General features: G+C 41.2%; 1 protein-coding gene across 3 annotated transcripts in view, besides 1 other annotated feature; it reads left to right on the top strand.

The window, feature by feature from the left end:
• Window positions 1-20,007, top strand: part of METTL24 (methyltransferase like 24) — a 114,410-nt gene that overhangs the window by 33,923 nt on the left and 60,480 nt on the right. For 2 of the 3 annotated variants that reach the window (NM_001354594.2, NM_001354595.2), the window contains exon 2: window positions 1,555-1,653. Coding sequence is in view for 1 of the 3 variants with exons in the window: in NM_001123364.3 (NP_001116836.1) it covers window positions 1,555-1,653; window positions 8,946-9,085 (239 nt within the window). In the remaining 2 variants the exon portion in view is untranslated. Of the gene's footprint in view, window positions 1-1,554; window positions 1,654-8,945; window positions 9,086-20,007 lie in introns of all 3 variants that reach the window. The other variant, NM_001123364.3, reaches the window with a different exon arrangement.
• Window positions 980-1,587: an enhancer, noted in NCBI's record as "NANOG-H3K27ac-H3K4me1 hESC enhancer chr6:110644043-110644650 (GRCh37/hg19 assembly coordinates)". NCBI's record gives its function as "activates a minimal SCP1, AML or CMV promoter by ChIP-STARR-seq in naive H9 embryonic stem cells {active_cell/tissue: H9 hESC(naive)}" and the evidence as "EXISTENCE:reporter gene assay evidence [ECO:0000049][PMID:30033119]".

Here is a 20,007-nt window from a genome sequence, read left to right as displayed (position 1 = left end):
TAAGACTGCACAGGTTGCATGCCCATACAGCTGGCCCTGCCCTATGGGTTCCTGAAAAAAGAGGCAGTCTGCGGGAAACCAGGGAGGCCTCCTTCAATCTAGAGGGACTGCGTGAGGCTCAGCCCCCACAAGGGTAGTACAGGCTGTGGGGATGTGAGACTGTGGGCTCTACAGGGATTCTGCAATGATGTGTGTCTAATAATGCCAAAACTGAATAACCCTTGATCACTTCCAAAGCGCTGGTATTGATCTCAGACGCCCAAGTGAGAATGGATTCCTCTTCCCCAAACCCAGACCGTCTGGCTTCACATAGACTAACCTTGTTCCCCACTACTTTCCTGTTTTCTATGTAACCCCGAGTCACCTAGGCCACCCCATCTAGGGGCAACAAACCACATTTGTACTAAAGCATCTCACGGCTGGCCTGTCTAGATGTTTCTTTCTTGGGTGCTGAGAGTTCCCACCACAGTACCTGACTGGAGAACACTGTGTATATGTGAATGATCCCTTTATCTTGCCCCCAGAACCCTCCCCTGCCTACTTCCTCACCATATAAAAAGGGGTTTAGGGGCCCATTCTCACTACACTGCAGGAAACCTATGCTATGACGCCCAAAGCCTTTCCTGGCACTAGACATTGACCCCGCCAGCTGCTGGAGCTCTCCCTTCCCCCAGCCCTTCCCTACCCTGCACGAGCCGTCCCCACCCCTGGGAATTGCAGCAAACCTCCTGGAGGTCTCTTGGTGTTGACAACTATAGGTGGGAGTTTTGAGCTCTAATAAGGATTTCCTGACTAGTGCCCCCTTTTTACTGGAGGGGCTACCATTTTTGTTTCCTCCAGACCATTGCATTCCCCCAACCCTTCATCCACCCATCCTTGCTACAAAAGGGGGCTGAGCGGGTCATCCTTAACCACTCTGTTCTTGGGAGCACCTCGTAACCTCTGCTAACAGGTGGTGGCTGCCTCACAGTGCTAGAAAGCCACCCTCCCCAGCCCTGGTGATGACAGTTCTGGGGTCCTCGCTCTGCCTGTGCAGGGTCCCAGCAGCCAAGGGCCGTGGTCCCATCTCCCTGCACTGAGGAAGATAAACAAATGCCCAGAACAAAGACAAGCCCCCAGCATTATGGTGCTTTGTTTAGAGAGGCACATATTCTTGAAGCTCTAAGCTTTGGGAGACTGTCGTCGATAAGGGAGTTTCTTTTCCCGGAGGAGCACAGCCTCATATAAAATAAGCTGCAGTTAAGGGAGAGCCCAATGGGGTCAAGTGGAGTTTGCCTTTGATCATACATGCAGAGTCAGACAGTCCTGGGGCCTTTGCATTCTCCTGCAAATTCCCCAACCTGGGAGTTGTGCTGTCTCCGGCCTCATTTGTCTCCCTGCGACTGATGTGGCCTTAATGACAGCAGCTCGCAAAGAGCCTCCTGCTGCCTGTGTGCATATGTGTGTGTTTTGCTGACAGCCAAAGCAGCCTTGCTTCCTCTCTGATACTGTGTCCTTCTCCTCCCACCCAGTTCCTCTTCCTTACACACAACCTATGTTTTCTGTCTCTTGCAGGGTCCCCGGTGGCATATAGATCTCCAGCCTTGGGCAGGCTCTGCTCAGTCCCTGGATGAAGAAGCCTGGAGGTTCCTGAGATATATCAGCACCACCCAGGTTGTGTTTCAGGCTCAAAGAAGTTAGAGAAGAATGTGAAAGATCCTGATTGCCTCTTTTGAAAGAAGGAGGTGGGGGAGGTTCTCAGCGACTCCTGATGAGGACTTGATGGGGAAGTGTGTTCAGAGGCATTGTTGCTTAAACTCATCCACTCACTTGGAGGCAGATAAGATACCTTCCATTTGCTAGGGCATGTTCCTTCCTCCAAGAGTGTCACCAACCTGAAATGTTTAAATGATTCATCCCAAAGTGTTTTAAAGATCCACTTTAGAAAATTGCTTTGGAAAACCATTTGAAATGACAGATTGGTCCCCGTGAGTAGGCAGTCGAGTATGTCACAAAACAAAACCATCATCTAGAGGTTCAAGCACCATTTTGTATTTGGAGGAACTTGCCTTTCCACTCTTCTGTCACAGATGCTTGGCAGCCAGGGATGTGCTAGGCAAGAGAGCAGAGGAGGCTTTGCAGGCAGTGTGCTGAGGAGTTAATGAATCCAAAGGCTCTCTATCTCAGAGCACTTGAAATCATTACTGAGCACGGGCCTTTATTAGTGACTTAACACATTGTGGTAGTTCCTGCCCAGCTCCAGGCTGAGCCAGTGCCCCGAGCAGGCAAAGAGACTGTCCATTAAGACAGTCTATGGCTCTTGACATGTTAATCAGAAGGTTCCATTCTCAAGTTGCCTGATCCCAGGGGGAAAGAGAGACAGAAAAGGAAATCAAGGCCCAAGGGAAATTTAGCCCTGAACTGAGAGGTGCTAGCAAATTAGCAGCTCAGACTGCCTGTGAGCTGCACAGAGGCCCACTCAGGAAGCTGCACAGTGGAGCTGGTGCTGCACGGGGGATCCTGGATTTTTAGAATCTCCCTCAAGCCCACTCTTGACATCCCTGTTCTCCTCCCCAGCCTCTCTGGCAGCAAAGCGCTTTTCCTCCGTAGGAGAGAATATATTTCCAGATCTTTAGGAGGTTAGTTAGTTTAGGGGTAAAAGAAAGTCTCATTTATCATATAATGCAGTGAGACAATCATAGGAATTTTAGTATTTGTCACCCAAACATGGACGTAAAAGCTTGTTGAATTAATCATGAGTGATGGGCTGTTGAATTAGTCCCTGTGCTTCTCATGATTTTATCTTATTTTGCTGCTGCAAATTAATTTGATGGACTTAGGCAGACTTAATTAAAATACTGAAATTTTAGTTTTGTAGTTTGATTTTACATGAACGATAAGAATCTGGACCTTTTAACTGTGATTTTCAAAAGCCCTTAAAGGCTCCAGAAGAAAATAAGAGGTTTTAATTTTATGAATCGGATTTGAGAACTATGGGCTTCACTCGCCAAAATAAATTTATGTAATGCAAGCTACCAAATTCCATTCTATATGTATTTCATGTTAATGTTCCATAACTTATAAAAGGCATGTTTGCTTAGAAGAAGCTATTGAGGCATGAAATGGTCATTTTTAGATCTCTCTTGGATCTTTCCCAGAAACTATGGGCTGAGAGGAGAAAATTTTTCTTTTCTTTTCTTTTCTTTTTTCAGAGACAGAGTCTCCCTCTGTTACCCAGGCTGGAGTTCAGTGGCACAATCTCAGCTCACTACAACCTCTGCCTCCCAGGTTCAAGTGGTTCTCCTGCCTCAGCCTCCCGAGTAGCTGGGATTACAGGAGCCTGTCACCATGCCCGACTAATTTTTGTATTTTTAGTAGAGATAGGGTTTTGCCATGTTGGCCAGGCTGGTCTTGAACTCCTGACCTCAGGAGATCCACCCACCTCAGCCTCCCAAAGTGCTGGGATTACAGGTGTGAGCCACTGCGCCTGGCCAAATTTTTTTTTTTAAAGCATCCTCCGTAGTCTGATCTTGTAAACCTGGGTACTTCACTTTGCTTCTCTGGCTCTCCTTGTTCTGATCCTGAAATGGAAGAGATTGTATCAAAATTATTTCTAAGGTCCCCCTCAGTTCTGTGAGCTTGTACTGTGCACAGAGCAGTATAGAATGGTTATTAACCAAGTATTTTTGAGTGTCTACAAGGTGCCAGGAACTGTTCTGGGCCCTGAGGATATAGTCTCTGCCCTTAAGGATCTAACCAACTCTTTGTGAAGGTGGATAACTGGATGTATAATTATTATTCAGCTTGATGAGCGATAATAGAGAATTTGTTGTTGAAGCTCACTAGAAGGATTTTTGTCCTCCAGAAAGAATGACGTAAAATTCCGGACCTCACAATGGTTTTTAATGCGGGGCCATTTTAGCCAGATAAGGTTCTGTGCTTTGATGTACTTCCGGGTTACTAGAAGGCCAGCAGATGGGAGTCACCAGAGATGACACTAAATGGTTCTTAATCAGAATCTTTTACTAACCAATGCTCCCTCCCCCTCCGTATGTAATGCAAAGCTTTATGGTTGCTTTTGGGGCTTATGCCTCATTTAGAACTCATCTTGACAATGAAAGCCTACGAAACTGGCAGAATATTAGAGTCACTGTTACCTAAAAATTTCAGTTAGCAGAAGTGAGTCATAATGGGCAAGGAAAAAAATAAAAGCTCTGAAGGTACTAATGCAAAATCCACCCCCATCCTCTTATGCTGCTTTTTAACATTAAGAAATATACTTCCCTCAAATCTGTGCTCAAGCTTGTACAGCAAGGCCAGCATTTGGTATGTGCATCATTGATGTATTCATTCCTCAATCCAGAGGGTATTTGTTGAACACCTGCTTTATGGCTGGCACTGTGCCAGGCCTTGGGATATTAAGCCTCAATAAAACACCCCTCCACACTGGTAAATAGGTAGGGTGCAAGAGAGTTGGGTGTTCTCTAACAGGGGGGAGACAGATGGATGGGGAAAGCTTCCTAGGCCAGAGGAGCCCGGGAGCAGAGGCATAGGGCATAGGACAGCATGGCATGAGACAGCAATGGGCGTGGCACCCCTAGACTTGTGCATTGTGGTCCTGGAGGCATGGTTGGGGTCATGCATTTTTAAATGAAATTCCAGAGGATATGGTGTTTGGGTAGAGTGTGCGGAACATCAAGCTCAGCTTAATTAGGTACTATTTTTTTTTTTCAATGTGAAAGACCATGATACACGACAGAGTTCTGTAGTCCGTGGTACACTGTCTGCTGCTAACAAGAAATAGTTAAATCATAAATACAGTGCTCTGTTCTAAGGGAAGTCTCCAGATTCAGCTTTTCATGGCAACCCCCAAACCATATGCCTCCAGGAAACATGCCTTGCAGTATAAAATTAATCTAAGCAACAGTGGCTGTTTTTAAAAAGAAAAAATAAAATATGTTTTAAAGCCTGTTTTTCTGTCTGTCATCTATCTATCTATCTATCTATCTATCTATCTATCTATCTATCTCTACCTCTCTACCTAGTTATCTACCCATCTATCAATTTGTAAGAATAACCTAAGAATAAGAACCCATGCTCTGGATATTCAGAATATAACTTTACAACAATAGTATCTGTTGTATTTACTGCTACACACACACACACACACACACACATACACACACAGGGATAAAAACAATAAGCATACAATTCTGCCCTCGAGTCTTTCAAAAATAGTGGTACTGTATAAACATAGAGCATAGAGTTGATCGTTCTGTAAACACGCAGATCATTGAAGTGATTCTTAAGTTCCAAAATTTTAAGGGCTCCCTTTGCCAGATTCTACTTATGGGTTGGCAGAAATACCATTCAAGCTTTTGGGATACAAAATGAAATGAAAATAAATTAGATCCCTTTAAGTTAAATAATTAAAAAAATTTCACAAAATATTTTTTCCTTTGTCTAGGCCTAATTTGCTTTATTTGGCTAAAATTACAAGGGGAATTAAAGAGAGACAGAGAACATAATTAGTTGAGTTGGAACTTAGCTAGAAGTTACTGCCCTCACTTATTTTGCTTACAAGAGAGCTTATTGAAGCCCTGGCCATAAATCTTAACTAGAAAGTTTGAAAAATCAATAATTAATTTTTAGGAGCAGAAGTTTATGGAGGACTTTCAGTTGTTTACAAAAGCTAATGTCTATCAATGAGGTGTTTAATAAATGGTTAAAATTGAATAATTTTTGTGTTTTATTTCTTTTCTTTTCTTTCTTTCTTTCTTTTTTTTTTTTTTTTTTGAGGTAGAGTCTTGCTCTGTTGCCCAGGCTGAAGTGCAGTGGCGCAATCTCGGCTCACTGCAACCTCCGCCCTCCCGGTTTCAAGCAATTCTGCCTCAGCCTCCCTAGTAGCTGGGATTACAGGCACATGCCAGTATGTCCGGCTAACTTTTGTATGTTTTTTTTTAGTAAAGGCGGGGTTTCACCATGCTGGCCAGGCTGGTCTCAAACTCCTGATCTTGTGTGATCTGCCTGCCTCGGCCTCCCAAAGTGCTGGGATTACAGGCGTGAGCCACCACGCCCGGCCCTTGTGTTTTATTTCTGAGCTAAGAAAGGAAGAGGGGACCTTATCAGGGGGAGTGAATGAAAAAGAATGTCTCTTCAATAGAGATATATCTGTCCAAGATGAAATCTGTAGAATAAGAAGAAATGCTTAAAGTAGACAAAGTGTCATCTTTAATAAAATAAAACCCTAGTTCCTGACTTTAGCAAAGGAGGAACTGCTGGACCTGAAAGCCCTCACTGCGGATCTTCAATGCCTACCTGACTTTTGGAGGCCTCTGGCTAACTGTCAGTGCTAACCCCTTCAACCCATTGTTAGGGTTGGGAGTCAGAGGGGCTGATGTTTTCAGTTTAAAGCTCTGGCCCAAGTATAGCCTCTTTTAATTTTCTGAGGCAGAGATGTGACTAGGCTGGAACCTTTCACTGGGGCTTTACAAAAGGCCTCCAGTAAACTCAAAAGGCCATCTGCATAAAAATCACCTGGGGGAGCTTATTAAAATGCATGTTCTCAGGTATCAGCCTCAAAGATTCTGAGTTTGTAGATCTGGAGGGAGGCCCAGGAATCTGCATTTTAAGTACCTCCCAGGTGATTCTGATGTAGGCGGACCGTATGTTGAGAAACACTGTGGGAAAGGTTAGAGCTAGGTTTGGATGGCATTAGGAGGGAATGATGAGCAAGGTCCTGCAAACATCACATCTTCATCTGTCATTATGGAGGTGTTTAGGGAGATACGTACACAAAGAACAATAGCAAATGGGGATCATCATACCATTTTAATAAAAATATCCCAGGAGACTTCCCCCAAGCAGATGGCTCTGGCTTATAAGGTCCAGGCATGCTTTGGGGGCACACACAGCTGCCCTGGACTAACTAGTTTCCCACTGGAGGTGGAGCTCAGGAAGGTGCCCATGTTTAAGACACAGTAATCTGTCCACTAGCAGAACAGGGTCCAATGAACACACTGAGTTCTGACTAACTAGATTAGCAACTTCTCTTCCCTTAGGTGAGTGGGTGGAGAATAGGAGGTGGGCAGGCAGAGACATAATTTCCATTTATCTGTGGGAGAATAGTAGGAGATGAATTATCAAATTAACATGTTGACGCACCCAGTTAATAAATGTATTCTGTAGCTGTTGCTTCAGAAAAGATTCAATTCCATTTTCTCTGATTATTTTGTCCTTTAAACAGTTGTTGGAGATAGAGAAGTAGAAAAATAGTGGATTCCAGGAAAAGATATATAGGGGTTTCACTTTTTCAGCTTTCCTCTGAGATGTCCAAATCCTACCAGAAGACTTAACATTCACTGATAAATAGTGCAGGATGATTTTGCCAGGCCAGCCGGAGGGGATAGCAAGAGTAATGCAGATGCTGTGTTAGTCGAATAGGCTCCACGTAATATGCTCTTCTTAGATTAAAATTTTGGAAAATCAGTTAAAGGATTAGGCAAGCCTAGAATATCTTTTTTTTCTTTTCTTTTCTTTCTTTCTTTTATTTTTTTGAGACAGGGTCTGGTCTTGCTCTGTTGCCCAGGCTGGAGTGTAGAGGCACAATCATGGCTCACTGCAGCCTCAACCTTCCAGGCTCAATTAATCAACCCCCCTGAATAGCTGGGACTACAGGCACATGCCACCATGCCCAGCTAATGTTTATATTTTTTGTAGAGATGAAGTTTTGCCATGTTGCCCAGACTGGTCTCGAGCTCCTGGGCTCAAGCGATCCTCCTGCCTCGGCCTCCCAAAGTGTTGGGATTATAGGCATAAGCCACCATGCCTGGCCCTAGAATATCTTCTTAGGAAGAAAATTACTTGCTGTTAATGTTTTCCAATGGATGAAAGCAATGAATCTCAAAACGTTCTTTGCATCTGGAGCGGTCTGTGGTCTATGCTGTGACAGCAAAAGCTGCTGCATTCATGGAGCATCATGATGACTATGAGAGTTCTAAGGGATTGGGGGAAAATACTGTTGCTCAGTAAGGTAAATATCTTGGCCACAGAACTTATTTTCCTTATTTTCTTTGGTTTCAACAGCCTCAGCTGTGCGAAATGTACTAGCCTCAAATACAAGTCAGAATCCCTTATGAAGTATATTTGCTTTGTGTGCAGTTGAAATTAGAGACTTGCTTTTGCTTGACTTACTCATATATTCCTTTGGTTTTCTTATCTAATTTTGATGGATGAGTTAAGAAAAGTGCTTCTGTTAGCTCAGGAAGAGCCTCCTGCCTGGGGCTGTTGCCCTTCTCCCCCAGGAGGAAGCGCATTAGAGCAGTGTATCACAAGGAACACTGCCTTATCAGCAGGGACTGCCTATTACTTTCACTTGACCCATGATCAGCTGTTTACCTTGGATAACACCTGCCATCCTTCTGGACCTTAGTGGCCCCACCTTATCTGCCTGAAATAAGGGATAGCTAATCTTGGGAGTATGCTTCTGAGATCTATGCCTATCATTGTGCCTCACATCTTATAGTAGGGACTCTGTGAGTAACGAAGACATCTATGCATGGTGAGCACTGTTCTCTGTGTCTGGACTGCCCTTCTTGGTCCAAGCCTCTCGGTTCATCCTCCAGGACTAGCACCCCTCTACAAAGGCTTCCTGACACAGCCGCTCCTCCCACCTTTTGCTCCTGATTTGTTCTCTCCTGCACACCCTGTGCACATGGCTACAGCAGCTCTTAACTTCTCTCCAAACCTGCATATAGTCTCCATGAGATTACTTATTATCTAGTAATTGAAATTTCTCCAAACACTTTATAGCAGTCTTGTGGTTCCCTGGGGAGGGGAGTTGTTAGCAGTGGAGGAGATTATAACTTTCCTATTACGGTTTTCAAGGATGGGGAAGCAATAAGTCCCTACCTGCTATTTATCATCCAACATTTCAAATTATTCACATTGATTTCCAATCTTTACAGATTGCATGCAATCACATGAATACAGACAGCCTGGCTACTGACTCTAGTCCTACACACAAGCCCTGGTCAGTGTGTCTTGACGACAGGTTCAATTTAGCTCATCAAATCCGCAACAAGCAGTGCCGCCTCTACTCCTTAGGGTGAGTACATTTTTTTACAGCAGAAGAAAACACAAACACTGCTTCAGGCAGCTCAGACCTTTTCAGCAATACAAAGTTAGAAATGGTTGCAGTTTGTAACAGGTGCCATGCTTTGCCTCCTGTCATCATTTCAGACTGATCTGTCTGTTGTGTAACTGGAGGCATGTATGGATCACCGAGGTCTCCTTGGTCAGAGGCACTTTCCCTCCCATTCTGCTGATAGCAAGTTGGAAGCCCCCGTTCTCATCATGTGGATAAACCTCTTGGTGAAACCAGTGATTTCCAGCTAGACTAAGAGCATCCTTAGTATAAAGAGAGAAGAATATTACTGCGTGCAGCAAAAAAAAAAAACACAAAAAACTTAGTTTTCTTTCTCTTGAAAGGGGATCTCACTCTGTCGCCCAGGCTGCAGTGCAGTGGCATGATCACGGCTCACTGCAACCCCTGCCTCTCAGGCTCCAGTGATCTTCCCACCACAGCCTCCCAAGTAGCTGGGACCACAGGCATGCACCCACCACACCCGGCTAATTTTTTGTATTTTTGGTAGAGACAGGGTTTTGCCATGTTGCCCAGGTTGGTCTTGAACTCCTGAGCTCAAGCAATCCACCTGCCTCGGCCTCCCAAAGCGCTGGGATTACAGGTGTGAGCCACTGCACCCAGCCATATGTTAGAAATTTTATGTACAGTTATGATGTATAACCCAAAACAAATAATGGCTATTGTTAGATTTGTATGTTTTATACCAATGATAAATCTATATCTAGTTACATTTTTAAAAAGGATAAAAGGGAACTCATAAAAAACTATGTCATTTTGTCAAAACTGTTTGAGAAAAATTGATATCGAGTTATTCAGGTTGAAAATGACCTAGATGTACAAATGAATTAAGTGAGCTTTTTTGTGAAAGGATGGCTACAAAGTAATGGGACTATTTCACCAAATGTACCCGTATTTATATAAAAACAGTTCTGAACTTACGAATGATATATGGCTTAAAAAAAAGAAGACAGGAGGAAATTATTTTTGTTTGGAACATCCTGTTCCATAGACTCTTTGTAAGGGCAATGTAGATTCTCAGGCTAGACCACTGAAGTCTTTTTACAAACAGTGCTGGGGACCCTAATGTGACATCGATCGTTTCCATGTCACATGCTTCCTCCTCACCTGTAGGTTTCATCACCTCTAGAGTCTACATTCAGGCCCAGGTATGACAACCACCAGCCAGAATCCTAGGTGGTCAGGGTTAGGGGCAGACATCTGGGTGATGTGGAGACCTACCCAAAGATTCCAGTGTAGAGAGGATCATCATCACTGTCAAACTATAACAAACAAGAATTACCGGTCATTGTGGATTTTATTCTTTAAAAAAACAAAATAAGAGTTTAAAGATAGGAAACATTCTCATATGGGTTAAATGAAGAGCAATGGTGTATATTGGTGGAGCTTGGCACATACTAGGCACACAATACATACTTGCCATGTAGAAGATCACTTGAGAGGAGAGACTAGGGAGGGAAGCTGGTTATGCTGTGATGAAAGTGTGGAGGCCGTGGATTAGAAGATGAGATGCTCAGCCAATTGATTAGAACAGAGCTCTCTTTCTGGAAGCCCACCAGCTATGCTTCAAGATTGGAGGGAGGATGGGAAGTTGTGAGAGCAGAATTTATTTCATGTCACATTAAAAATGTCTGAAAGTGGGTCATAAAAAATTGCATAGTACCACGTGCAAGTTGGTCCTATTTTCTTGCTCCAAATTGCCTCTATATTTTACTTAATATTTTACGCCCTGGGATAATTTCATTTAAAGGATATAACTGAGTAAAATCAAACTTAAAAAGCTGTTTGGGGGGAAAGTTTCTAAATTCCTTTTTGCTTTCCTTATACTTCAGAGCTGTTGGATAAGATAGCTCTGCAGTAAGAGTTCAGATTATTACATATAAAAAGGTAGTTTCCTATTTTAAAATATTTTTATTGACACATAATATTTGTACAAATTAATGGGGTACATGTGATATTTTGTTACATGCGTAGCATGCATAGTAATCAAGTCAGGGCATTTAGAGTATCCGTCACCTCCAGCATTGATCATGTCTATGTGTTGGGAGCATTTCCAGTCCTCTCTTCTAGCTATTTTGAAATATAAAATTTATGGTTGTCGACTGTAGGTAGTCACCCTACTCTGCTTTCGAATATTAGAACTTATTCCCTCTGAGGGAGGAAAATAGGCTCTGGAGGCAGGGAACATAAGGCCAATTCACACTTCAGCTATGACAGGGGATGTCCTCTCCATAGGGCATATGCCCAGTAAATGACTTTGTAACTTTACTTCATCCTCTTCATTTACATAGGGTGTGCACCAAGTAACCAATGTAAATCTCTAGAGGGAATTTAACCGCTCAAAAATTCTGTAACAGGGCTCTTGAACCCCTGTGCTCTGGCCTGTTCCCACACTGTGGAGTGTACTTTCATTTTCAAAAAATCTCTGCTTTTGTTGCTTCATTCTTTCCTTCCTTTGTTTGTGCATTTTGTCCAATTCTTTGTTAAAGATGCCAAGAACCTGGACACCCCTGCACCGGTAACACTTTTATCTAACTGTATGTTTGTACCTGTTAAACAACCTCTCTTCACTTCCCCTCAAACACCCTTCCCAGCATCTGATAACCATCATTCTACTCTCTCTACCTCCATGAGATCAACTTTTTAGCTCCAGCATATGAGTGAGAAGATGCAATATTTGTGTTTCTGTGTCTGATTTGTTTCCTTTAACATACTGTCCTCCAGTTCCAAACATGTTGCTGCAAATGACAGGATTTTATTCTTTTTTTATGGCCAAATAGTATTCCATTGTGTATATATGCCACATTTTCTTTATTTATCACTAATGGACACTTAGCTTGACTCCATGTCTTAGTTATTGTGAATAGTGCTGCAATAAACATGGGGATGCAGGCATCCCTTTGATATACTGCTTTCCCTTCCTTTGGATATATACCCAGAAGTAGGATTGCTGAATTGTATGGTAGTCCTATTTTTAGTCTTTTGAGAAATCTCCATACTGTTTTCCATAATGGCTATACTAGTTTACATCCCCAAAACCAGTGTGTAAAAGTTCCCTTTTCTCTAAATCCTTGCCAGTATCTGTTATTTTTTGTCTTTTTAATAATAGCCATTCTAACTGGGATAAGATAAGATCTCATTTTGGTTTTGATGTACATTTTCCTGATGATTAGTGAGGCTGAGCAGTTTTTCATATATTTATTCAAAAGAAAAATAGACAAATGGGACTGTATTAAACCAAAAAGCTTCTGCACAGCAAAAGAAACAATCAACAGAGTGAAGAGACAACCTGTTGAATGGGAGAAAATATTTGCAAATTATTTATCCATCAAGTGACTAATATCCAGAATATACAAGGAACTCAAACAACTCAATTGCAAAACAAACAAAAAAATAATTCCATGAAAAAGTGGGCAAAGGACAGGAATAGACATCTCTCAAAAGAAGTTTCTTATTTTCATTTAAATGTTTACCGTTGAAAATTAACTTTGGGGCCAGGCGCAGTGGCTCATGCCCACTGCTCAAGCCCACATGCTCAAGCCCAGCACTTTTTGAGGCTGAGGCAGGCAGATCACTTGAGGTCAGGAGTTCGAGACAAGCCTGGCCAACATGGTGAAACCCTGTTTCTACTAAAAATACAAAAATTAGCCGGGCATGGTGGTGCACGCCTCTTGTTCCAGCTACTCAGGAGGCTGAGGCTGGAGAATCACTTGAACCCAGGAGGCAGAGGTTGCAGTGAGCTGAGATTGTGCCACTGCACTCCAGCCTGGGTGACAGAGCAAGACTCCGTCTCAAAAAAAAAAAAAAAAAAAAAAACAAAGAAAGAAAAGAAAAGAAAAGAAAATCAACTTTGTAAAGAGCATCTGAATTCCACTGGGAAAAGCAATGAATAGATTACAAGGGCCAATATTTGACTAAAAACATGAAAGCACTTAATTGAAAACTGAAACTAAAGAAGATATTTCTGACGCCTAGAAAAAGAGGCTTTGGGTTGTGGGTAATTATGTTGATTGCACTTACTAAGGCTCCAGGACCCAGACAAGTATGCCCCTGTTCAGGTGAATTGCTTGCCTGGGGCACAAGTAGATAGCTGGCTGACAACACCTCAACTGATAGTGAGGGAAGAGTGAGACCCAGACCAGAATTGGTGGTCCTGAAATTAGGAGTGAGAACAGGGAAGGTGGCCCCGGGTTCCCAGCACCAGGGAGTGTTGGAACAGTTTTGAGCTAGGTGGGGAGGGCAGGTAGTAAGTGAATTCTGTGGCCCTCCATACAGGCAGTGTGTGCTCCTTGTCCCAGGGCCACAGCAGCAACAAGACCATGCCACTGCTATACCCAGTAATTCCCAGGCAAACCGAAGACAATGGATGCAGCTGCAGCTGGGAGTAAATTCCTGGCAGGAGGGAAAGAAGGGTTCCAAGGACACAGGGAGTCAGAAGACAGAGGCTGATGGCCCCACTTTCTAATCTGTCTCATCTCCTTTCCTCCACCTCTAAGAACTGAAGCAGATATCACCTCCATCTTCTCTTTGATGGCTGAAGTTTATTTACTAGGAGTCAAAGCTTTTTATTCCACAGTTAATGGAAAAGGCATTTGTCTGTGAGTGTGCACTCTGTGTCATGTTCAGTTGAAAATGAAAATTAGATCCTTTTCAGTTTTGAAATGAGGTAGACTAGACCAATTAAGATAGGGGAAGGCACTGAAAAGATACATATTATGGAGAAAGGGATAGAGAAGAGAAAAAAGGAGAGGCTGTGGGTTCAGATGACAATATCATCTACATAATAACTTCAGACAGGGCCTGGCCTGCAAGTCTTCTCATGTCTGGAGTGGGGAAGGGTGATGGTGGAGCAGTGGAGGGGAGGGGAGGGATGAGAGTCGTAGATAAAGTGAAAGGGGAAAATCACCTTTTCTCCTTTTTATGCCAAAGATTGTATTTTAGGGGTAGGCGTGGGCATGAGAGGAAAGATTTGAAAAGGGCTAATACATAGGTACATATTTTTTGTCTCTTTTTTAGTTTTGTAGTAGGTTGTGCCTTTTGTTTCAAGACATAAATTCTCAGTCTAAGATAGTAGATGATTTCATAAGTGATACATGGTTAGATAGCAAGAGCCCATATTTTATACCGAAAATCTGGGAACTTTGGTTACCATGAGCATTTCCAGAAGAATGAAAGAGCCAAATATTTTCATCTTATAATAGTTTAACACAGCAGGAAGAGTGTTTGTCTAGTGTATGTGAAAACCATGGACCTCAAGCTTCCTTTTTGGGCATGTTTCCCCAAATTACCCTTTTCATGAAAATTTAAAACCATAGATAATACTGTACATCTATTTATGTAATACGTGCATATCTGTGCTTCATACATAAAAAGAGGAAAGGGTTTTTTGTTTTGTTTTGTTTTGTTTTGTTTTGTTTTTTTTGCTCCTAAGAATACATTTTACCCCTTTGGGAGTGATATTGTCTGATAAGGTTTGGCTGTGTCCCCACACAAATCTCATCTTGTAGTTCCTATAATTCCCACATGTTGTGGGAGGGACCTGGTTTGAGATAATTGAATCATGGGCGCAGGTCTTTCCCATGCTGTTCTCGTGACAGTGAATAAGAGATCTGATGGTTTTAAATACAAGAGTTTCCCTGCACAACCTTTTTTTGCCTGCTGCCATCCATGTAAGACATGACTTGCTCCTCCTTGCCTTCTGCCATGATTCTGAGGCCTCCCCAGACACGTGCAACTGTGATACAATTAAACCTCTTTCTTTTATAAATTGCCCAGTCTTGGGTATGTCTTTATCAGCAGCATGAAAACAAACTAATACATCGTCCCTGTTGAGGATATGTTTTAGATGAAATGTGGCATTGCGTGTAAGTTTATTTAGTAAAAAATAACAATTATAAGTGTTTTTACCCACTAGTGTGTCATTTATGCTTTAGGAAGCCTATTTCTCCCCCTCTAATAGTTGGCAGCTTGAAGATCTAGGTAGTTATTTGGCCAGATTCTGTGGTTCCTGCTAGGATGAAGAATGGAGGACTGAAACTCCTAGGGAAAACACCAATTGTGTTACCTCTTCTAACCCTCTGCCTTCAATGGGAGGGTTAAAAACTTTCCCTGTCTTTGCTCTGAGTTCATTTTATTTGTTTTGTTACCTTTTAAAAAAATGCTTGTTAAGATATATTTCACATGCCATACAATTCATCCATTTAAAATATACAGTTCTATGGCTCTTTTAGTCACTATAGTCAATTTTAGAACATTTTCATTACCCCAAAAAAGAAGCCTCTGTACCCAGTAGCAGTCACTCTCAATTTCCCTCCAACCCTCTTCTCTCCATCCCCAGTCTGCCATCCTTAGGCAATCACTATTCTATTTTCTGTTTGTGTAGATTCACCCATTCTGGACATTTCACATAAATAAAAGCATATAATATGTGGCGTTTTGTGACTGGCTTGTTTCACTTAGCATAATATTTTCAAGGTTCAGCCACATTGCAGCATGTATCAGTACTTCATTCCTTTTATGGCTGAATAATATTCCATTGTATGAATTTTGGTATGGTTACATCACATTTTATTTATTCATTCATTGGTTGATAGACATTTGGGTTGTTTCCACTTTTTGGTGTTTATGAATAATGTTGCTATGAACATTCCTGTACAAGTTTTTATGTGGACTTATGTTTTCATTTCTCTTAGCTATATACCATTTTGCATTCCCACCAGTAATCTATGAGGTTTCCAATTTCTCCATATCCTTGCCTACACTTACTATTATTGATCATTCTGATTACAGCCATCTTAGTGGATGTGAAGTGGTATCTCACTGTGGTTTTGATTTGCATTTCCCTACTGACTAATGATCTTGAGCATCTTTTCATGTGCTTATGTTGTGAGTTTTTTGTTCCTGGAGAACATCAAAGCCCACTCACTTTAATACTTTTGGGAATATTTTTAAAAGAATAATCAAGGGCCTGAAACAGTGCCACAACCCACCCCTTCTGCCCTTCAGCAGTGTTAAAGGGCATGGGACTGCAGTACTACTTGCAGCTTGTCCAAAGAATACCTTCATACAATTTGGGAAAGGGCACCCCTCCCTCAAGAACTTTTACTGCTAGAAAATCATTTTTATGGTGATTATGATGGAAATGACATCTCCCAGAGTTGTTCAGTGCACAGTCCACACAACTGCCTGCAGGGATCCTGGTTGTTTTTCTTTAAGACATCAGAGAAAGAGGATCAAGATGGCTCCACTATTATTCTATTACCTTTGAAAATTTAGCCCTATAAATCTCCCCCTTCCTATTTCTTCAACAGCTCTCAGATTTAATGGTCCTTCTATGTTGAAAAGTTTGCAGTTACTTCTAACCCCAGCATTAATATATGCAGAACAATATTGTCAGGATGAATTACATAATTTTGTTTCTTCCTCATAGAGAGGGAGAGGTTGCTGTCTTAATTCAAAGGTATATAGCTTTGAATATACGTGTTAACTGCTTAATTATTTCAGAAATGGGTTGTAGCAGGAACTACTCATTGTCCCTCAATATTTATTCTCCCTTTCTTTTTTTGGTAACAGAACTCCTGAGATTAGCAGGGCGCATGGCCACCTTTCTGATGGCTGTATTTCCTAGCCTTCCATGTAGCTGTAAATGGCCATATGAATAGCTTTAAGCAGTGAGCTATGAATGGAAGTGATGTGTGCAACTTCCCCAAGAAGACAGGATGAGACTATCACTTCCCCTTTTACCTTTCCTCGTGGCCAAGATACAGACAGATTGGCAAAAAATGGACTAGTTGTCTAAGACCTTGAGATGGAAGCCATATGATCTATACTTCTTGCCTCATTAAATAAACATTAAATAAAATATTTCTTTCAAGCAAAATTTTCTATAATGTATTCTCCTTCTAGTTAAATAGCAGCAGAACATGATTTCCTTATAGACTAAATACATTTTTGCTATAAATAATGGTTGTCTTTTTATTATAATTATTTGTTCAAAAATCTTTCTTCATTACTACTTTGTGAACCTCTTCAGATCAAGGACCATGTTTAACTTATCCATTTGTCCCTGGTGTCCAGTGTAGTGCCTTGCACATGTAAAATGCTCTATAAATATTTGTTTATGAACATGAATAAGTCAGTAAAATATAGCTTACCACAGGCAACATTTGGATACTGAATATTGTACTGTGTGTTCTGAGAATTCCAGCCCCTGCCTCATAGTTTTATTTCACTTAGGGCAGCATTTTGTAGGTCTGTCTGTCATCACTCATCTATTCAGCACTGCGGACTTAGAAATGAGCAAGATTGACATAGCCCTTTTCCTCATGGAGCGTTATTGTCTGGTAACTGACAGTTCCCTAGACCTGAGATCACAAATATTCCTTCCATGATCCTGTGTCCTGTGCTCATCAGCAACGAGGTGGCATATAGAGAGCACGTGCTCTGGATCTACCTGGATTGGATTTGACTCCTGGTTTACCGCTTTGGGCCATGTTTTGTAACACCTGTGCATATTACATTTACTTCTCCTCTTGCTTTTTACGTGACCACAAACTTGACCAATTTCAACTATGCTTGAAGAAGTACCATTGCAAATAAATGAAAGTAAGAATTTTATATATCAATTAAATGAATATAGTTTATTACATTCCAATGTGGTACATGTTTATATATTAAGATTATAGTAAAAGTATAACATAAATTAATCCAAAAAATTACAAATAGTTTTATGTTATCTAATGCATTATATAAAAGTTTCCCACTATTTAATGACTAACTTATATGTGTATGTGTGTGCTTATGATATTTATAATAGAGAAACACTTGTATATAGGTAGAAAATTTCTGGAAAGATATATAAAAAACTGCTAAACATGATCATCTCTGGAAATTAATGGCTAAAATTTCTAGTGGTAAAAAACTGTTTTCTTTTTTTTAGTTTTATTTTATTTAAATAATATTTATTTATTTATTTATTTTATTATACTTTAAGTTCTGGGACACATGTGCAGAACATGCAGGTCTGCTACACAGGTATACATGTGCCATGGTGGTTTGCTGCACCCATCAACCCGTCATCTACATTAGGTATTTCTCCTAATGCTATCCCTCCCCTTGCCCCCCACCCCCCAACAGGCCCTGGTGTGTGATGTTTCCCTCCCTGTGCCCATATGTTCTTGTTGTTCAGCTCCCACTTATGAGTGAGAACATGTGGTGTTCGGTTTGCTGAGGATGATGGTTTCCAGCTTCATCCATGTCCCTGCAAAGAAAATGAACTCAACCTTTTTTATGACTGCATAGTATTCCATATTGGATATGTGCCACATTTTCTTTATCCAGTCTAACATTGTGGGCATTTGGGTTGGTTCCAAGTCTTTGCTATTGTGAATAGTGCTGCAATAAACATATGTGTGCATGTGCCTTTATAGTAGAATGATTTATAATCCTTTGGGTATCTACCCAGTAATGGGATTGCTGGGTCAAATGGTATTTCTAGTTCTAGATCCTTGAGGAATTGCCACACTGTCTTCCACAATGGTTGAACTAATTTACACTCCCACCAACAGTGTAAAAGCGTTCCTATTTCACCACATCCTCTCCAGCATCTGTTGTTTCCTGACTTTTAAATGATCACCATTCTAACTGGCATGAGATGGCATCTCATTGTGGTTTTGATTTGCATTTCTCTGATGACCAGTGATGATGAGATTTTTTTCATGTTTGTTGGCCACATAAATGTCTTCTTTTGAAAAGCGTCTGTTCATATCCTTTGCCCAATATTTGATGGAATTGTTTGTTTTTTTCTTGTAAATTTGTTTAAGTTCCATGTAGATTCTGGATATTAGCCCTTTGTCAGATGGATAGATTGCAAATTTTTTTTCCCATTCTGTAGGTTGCCTGTTCACTCTGATGATACTTTCTTTTGCTGTGCAGAAGCTCTTTAATTTAATTCGATCCTATTTGTCAATTTTGGCTTTTGTTGCCGTTGCTTTTGGTGTTTTAGTCATGAAGGCTTTGCCCATGCCTATGTCCTGAATGGTATTACCTAGGTTTTCTTCTAGGGTTTTTATGGTTTTAGGTCTTATATTTAAATCTTTAACCCATCTTGAGTTAATTTTAATTAATGCTTCCTTTAGGAGCTCTTGTAGGGCAGGCCTGGTAGAGACAAAATACCTCAGTATTTCCTTGCCTGTAAAGGATTTTATTCTCCTTCACTTATGAAGCTTAGTTTGGCTGGACATGAAATTCTGGGTTAAAATTATTTTCTTTAAAAATGTTGAGTATTGGCCCCCACTGTCTTCTAGCTTGTAGGGTTTCTGCAGAGAGAGATCTGCTGTTAGTCTGATGGGCTTCCCTTTGTGGGTAACCTGACCTTTCTCTCTGGCTTCCTTTAACATTTTTTTCTTTTGTTTCAACCTTGGTGAATCTGATGATTATGTGTCTTGGCGTTGCTCTTCTCAAAGAGTATCTTTGTGGTGTTCTCTGTATTTTCTGAATTTGGATGTTAGCCTGTCTTGCTATGTTGGGGAAGTTCTCCTGGATAATATCCTGAAGTGTTTTCCATTCTCCTCGTCACTTTCAGATACACCAATCAATTATAGGTTTGGTCTTTTCACATAGTCCCATATTTCTTGGAGGCTTTGTTCGTTCCTTTTCATTCTCTTTTCTCTAATCTTGTCTTCACACTTTATTTCATTAAGTCGATCTTCAATCTCTGATATCCTTTCTTCCACTTGATTGATTCAGCTATTGATATTTGTGTATGGTTCATGAAGTTCTCGTGCTGTGTTTTTCAGTTCCATCAGGTTATTCATGTTCTTCTCTAAACTAGTTATTTTAGTTAGCAATTCTTCTAACCTTTTATC

Source organism: Homo sapiens, chromosome 6 (genome assembly GCF_000001405.40).
Source record: "Homo sapiens chromosome 6, GRCh38.p14 Primary Assembly".
Lineage (NCBI taxonomy): Eukaryota > Metazoa > Chordata > Mammalia > Primates > Hominidae > Homo > Homo sapiens.
The sequence above is the reverse complement of the archived record's forward strand: the minus strand, read 5'-3'. Positions and strand labels throughout refer to the sequence as shown.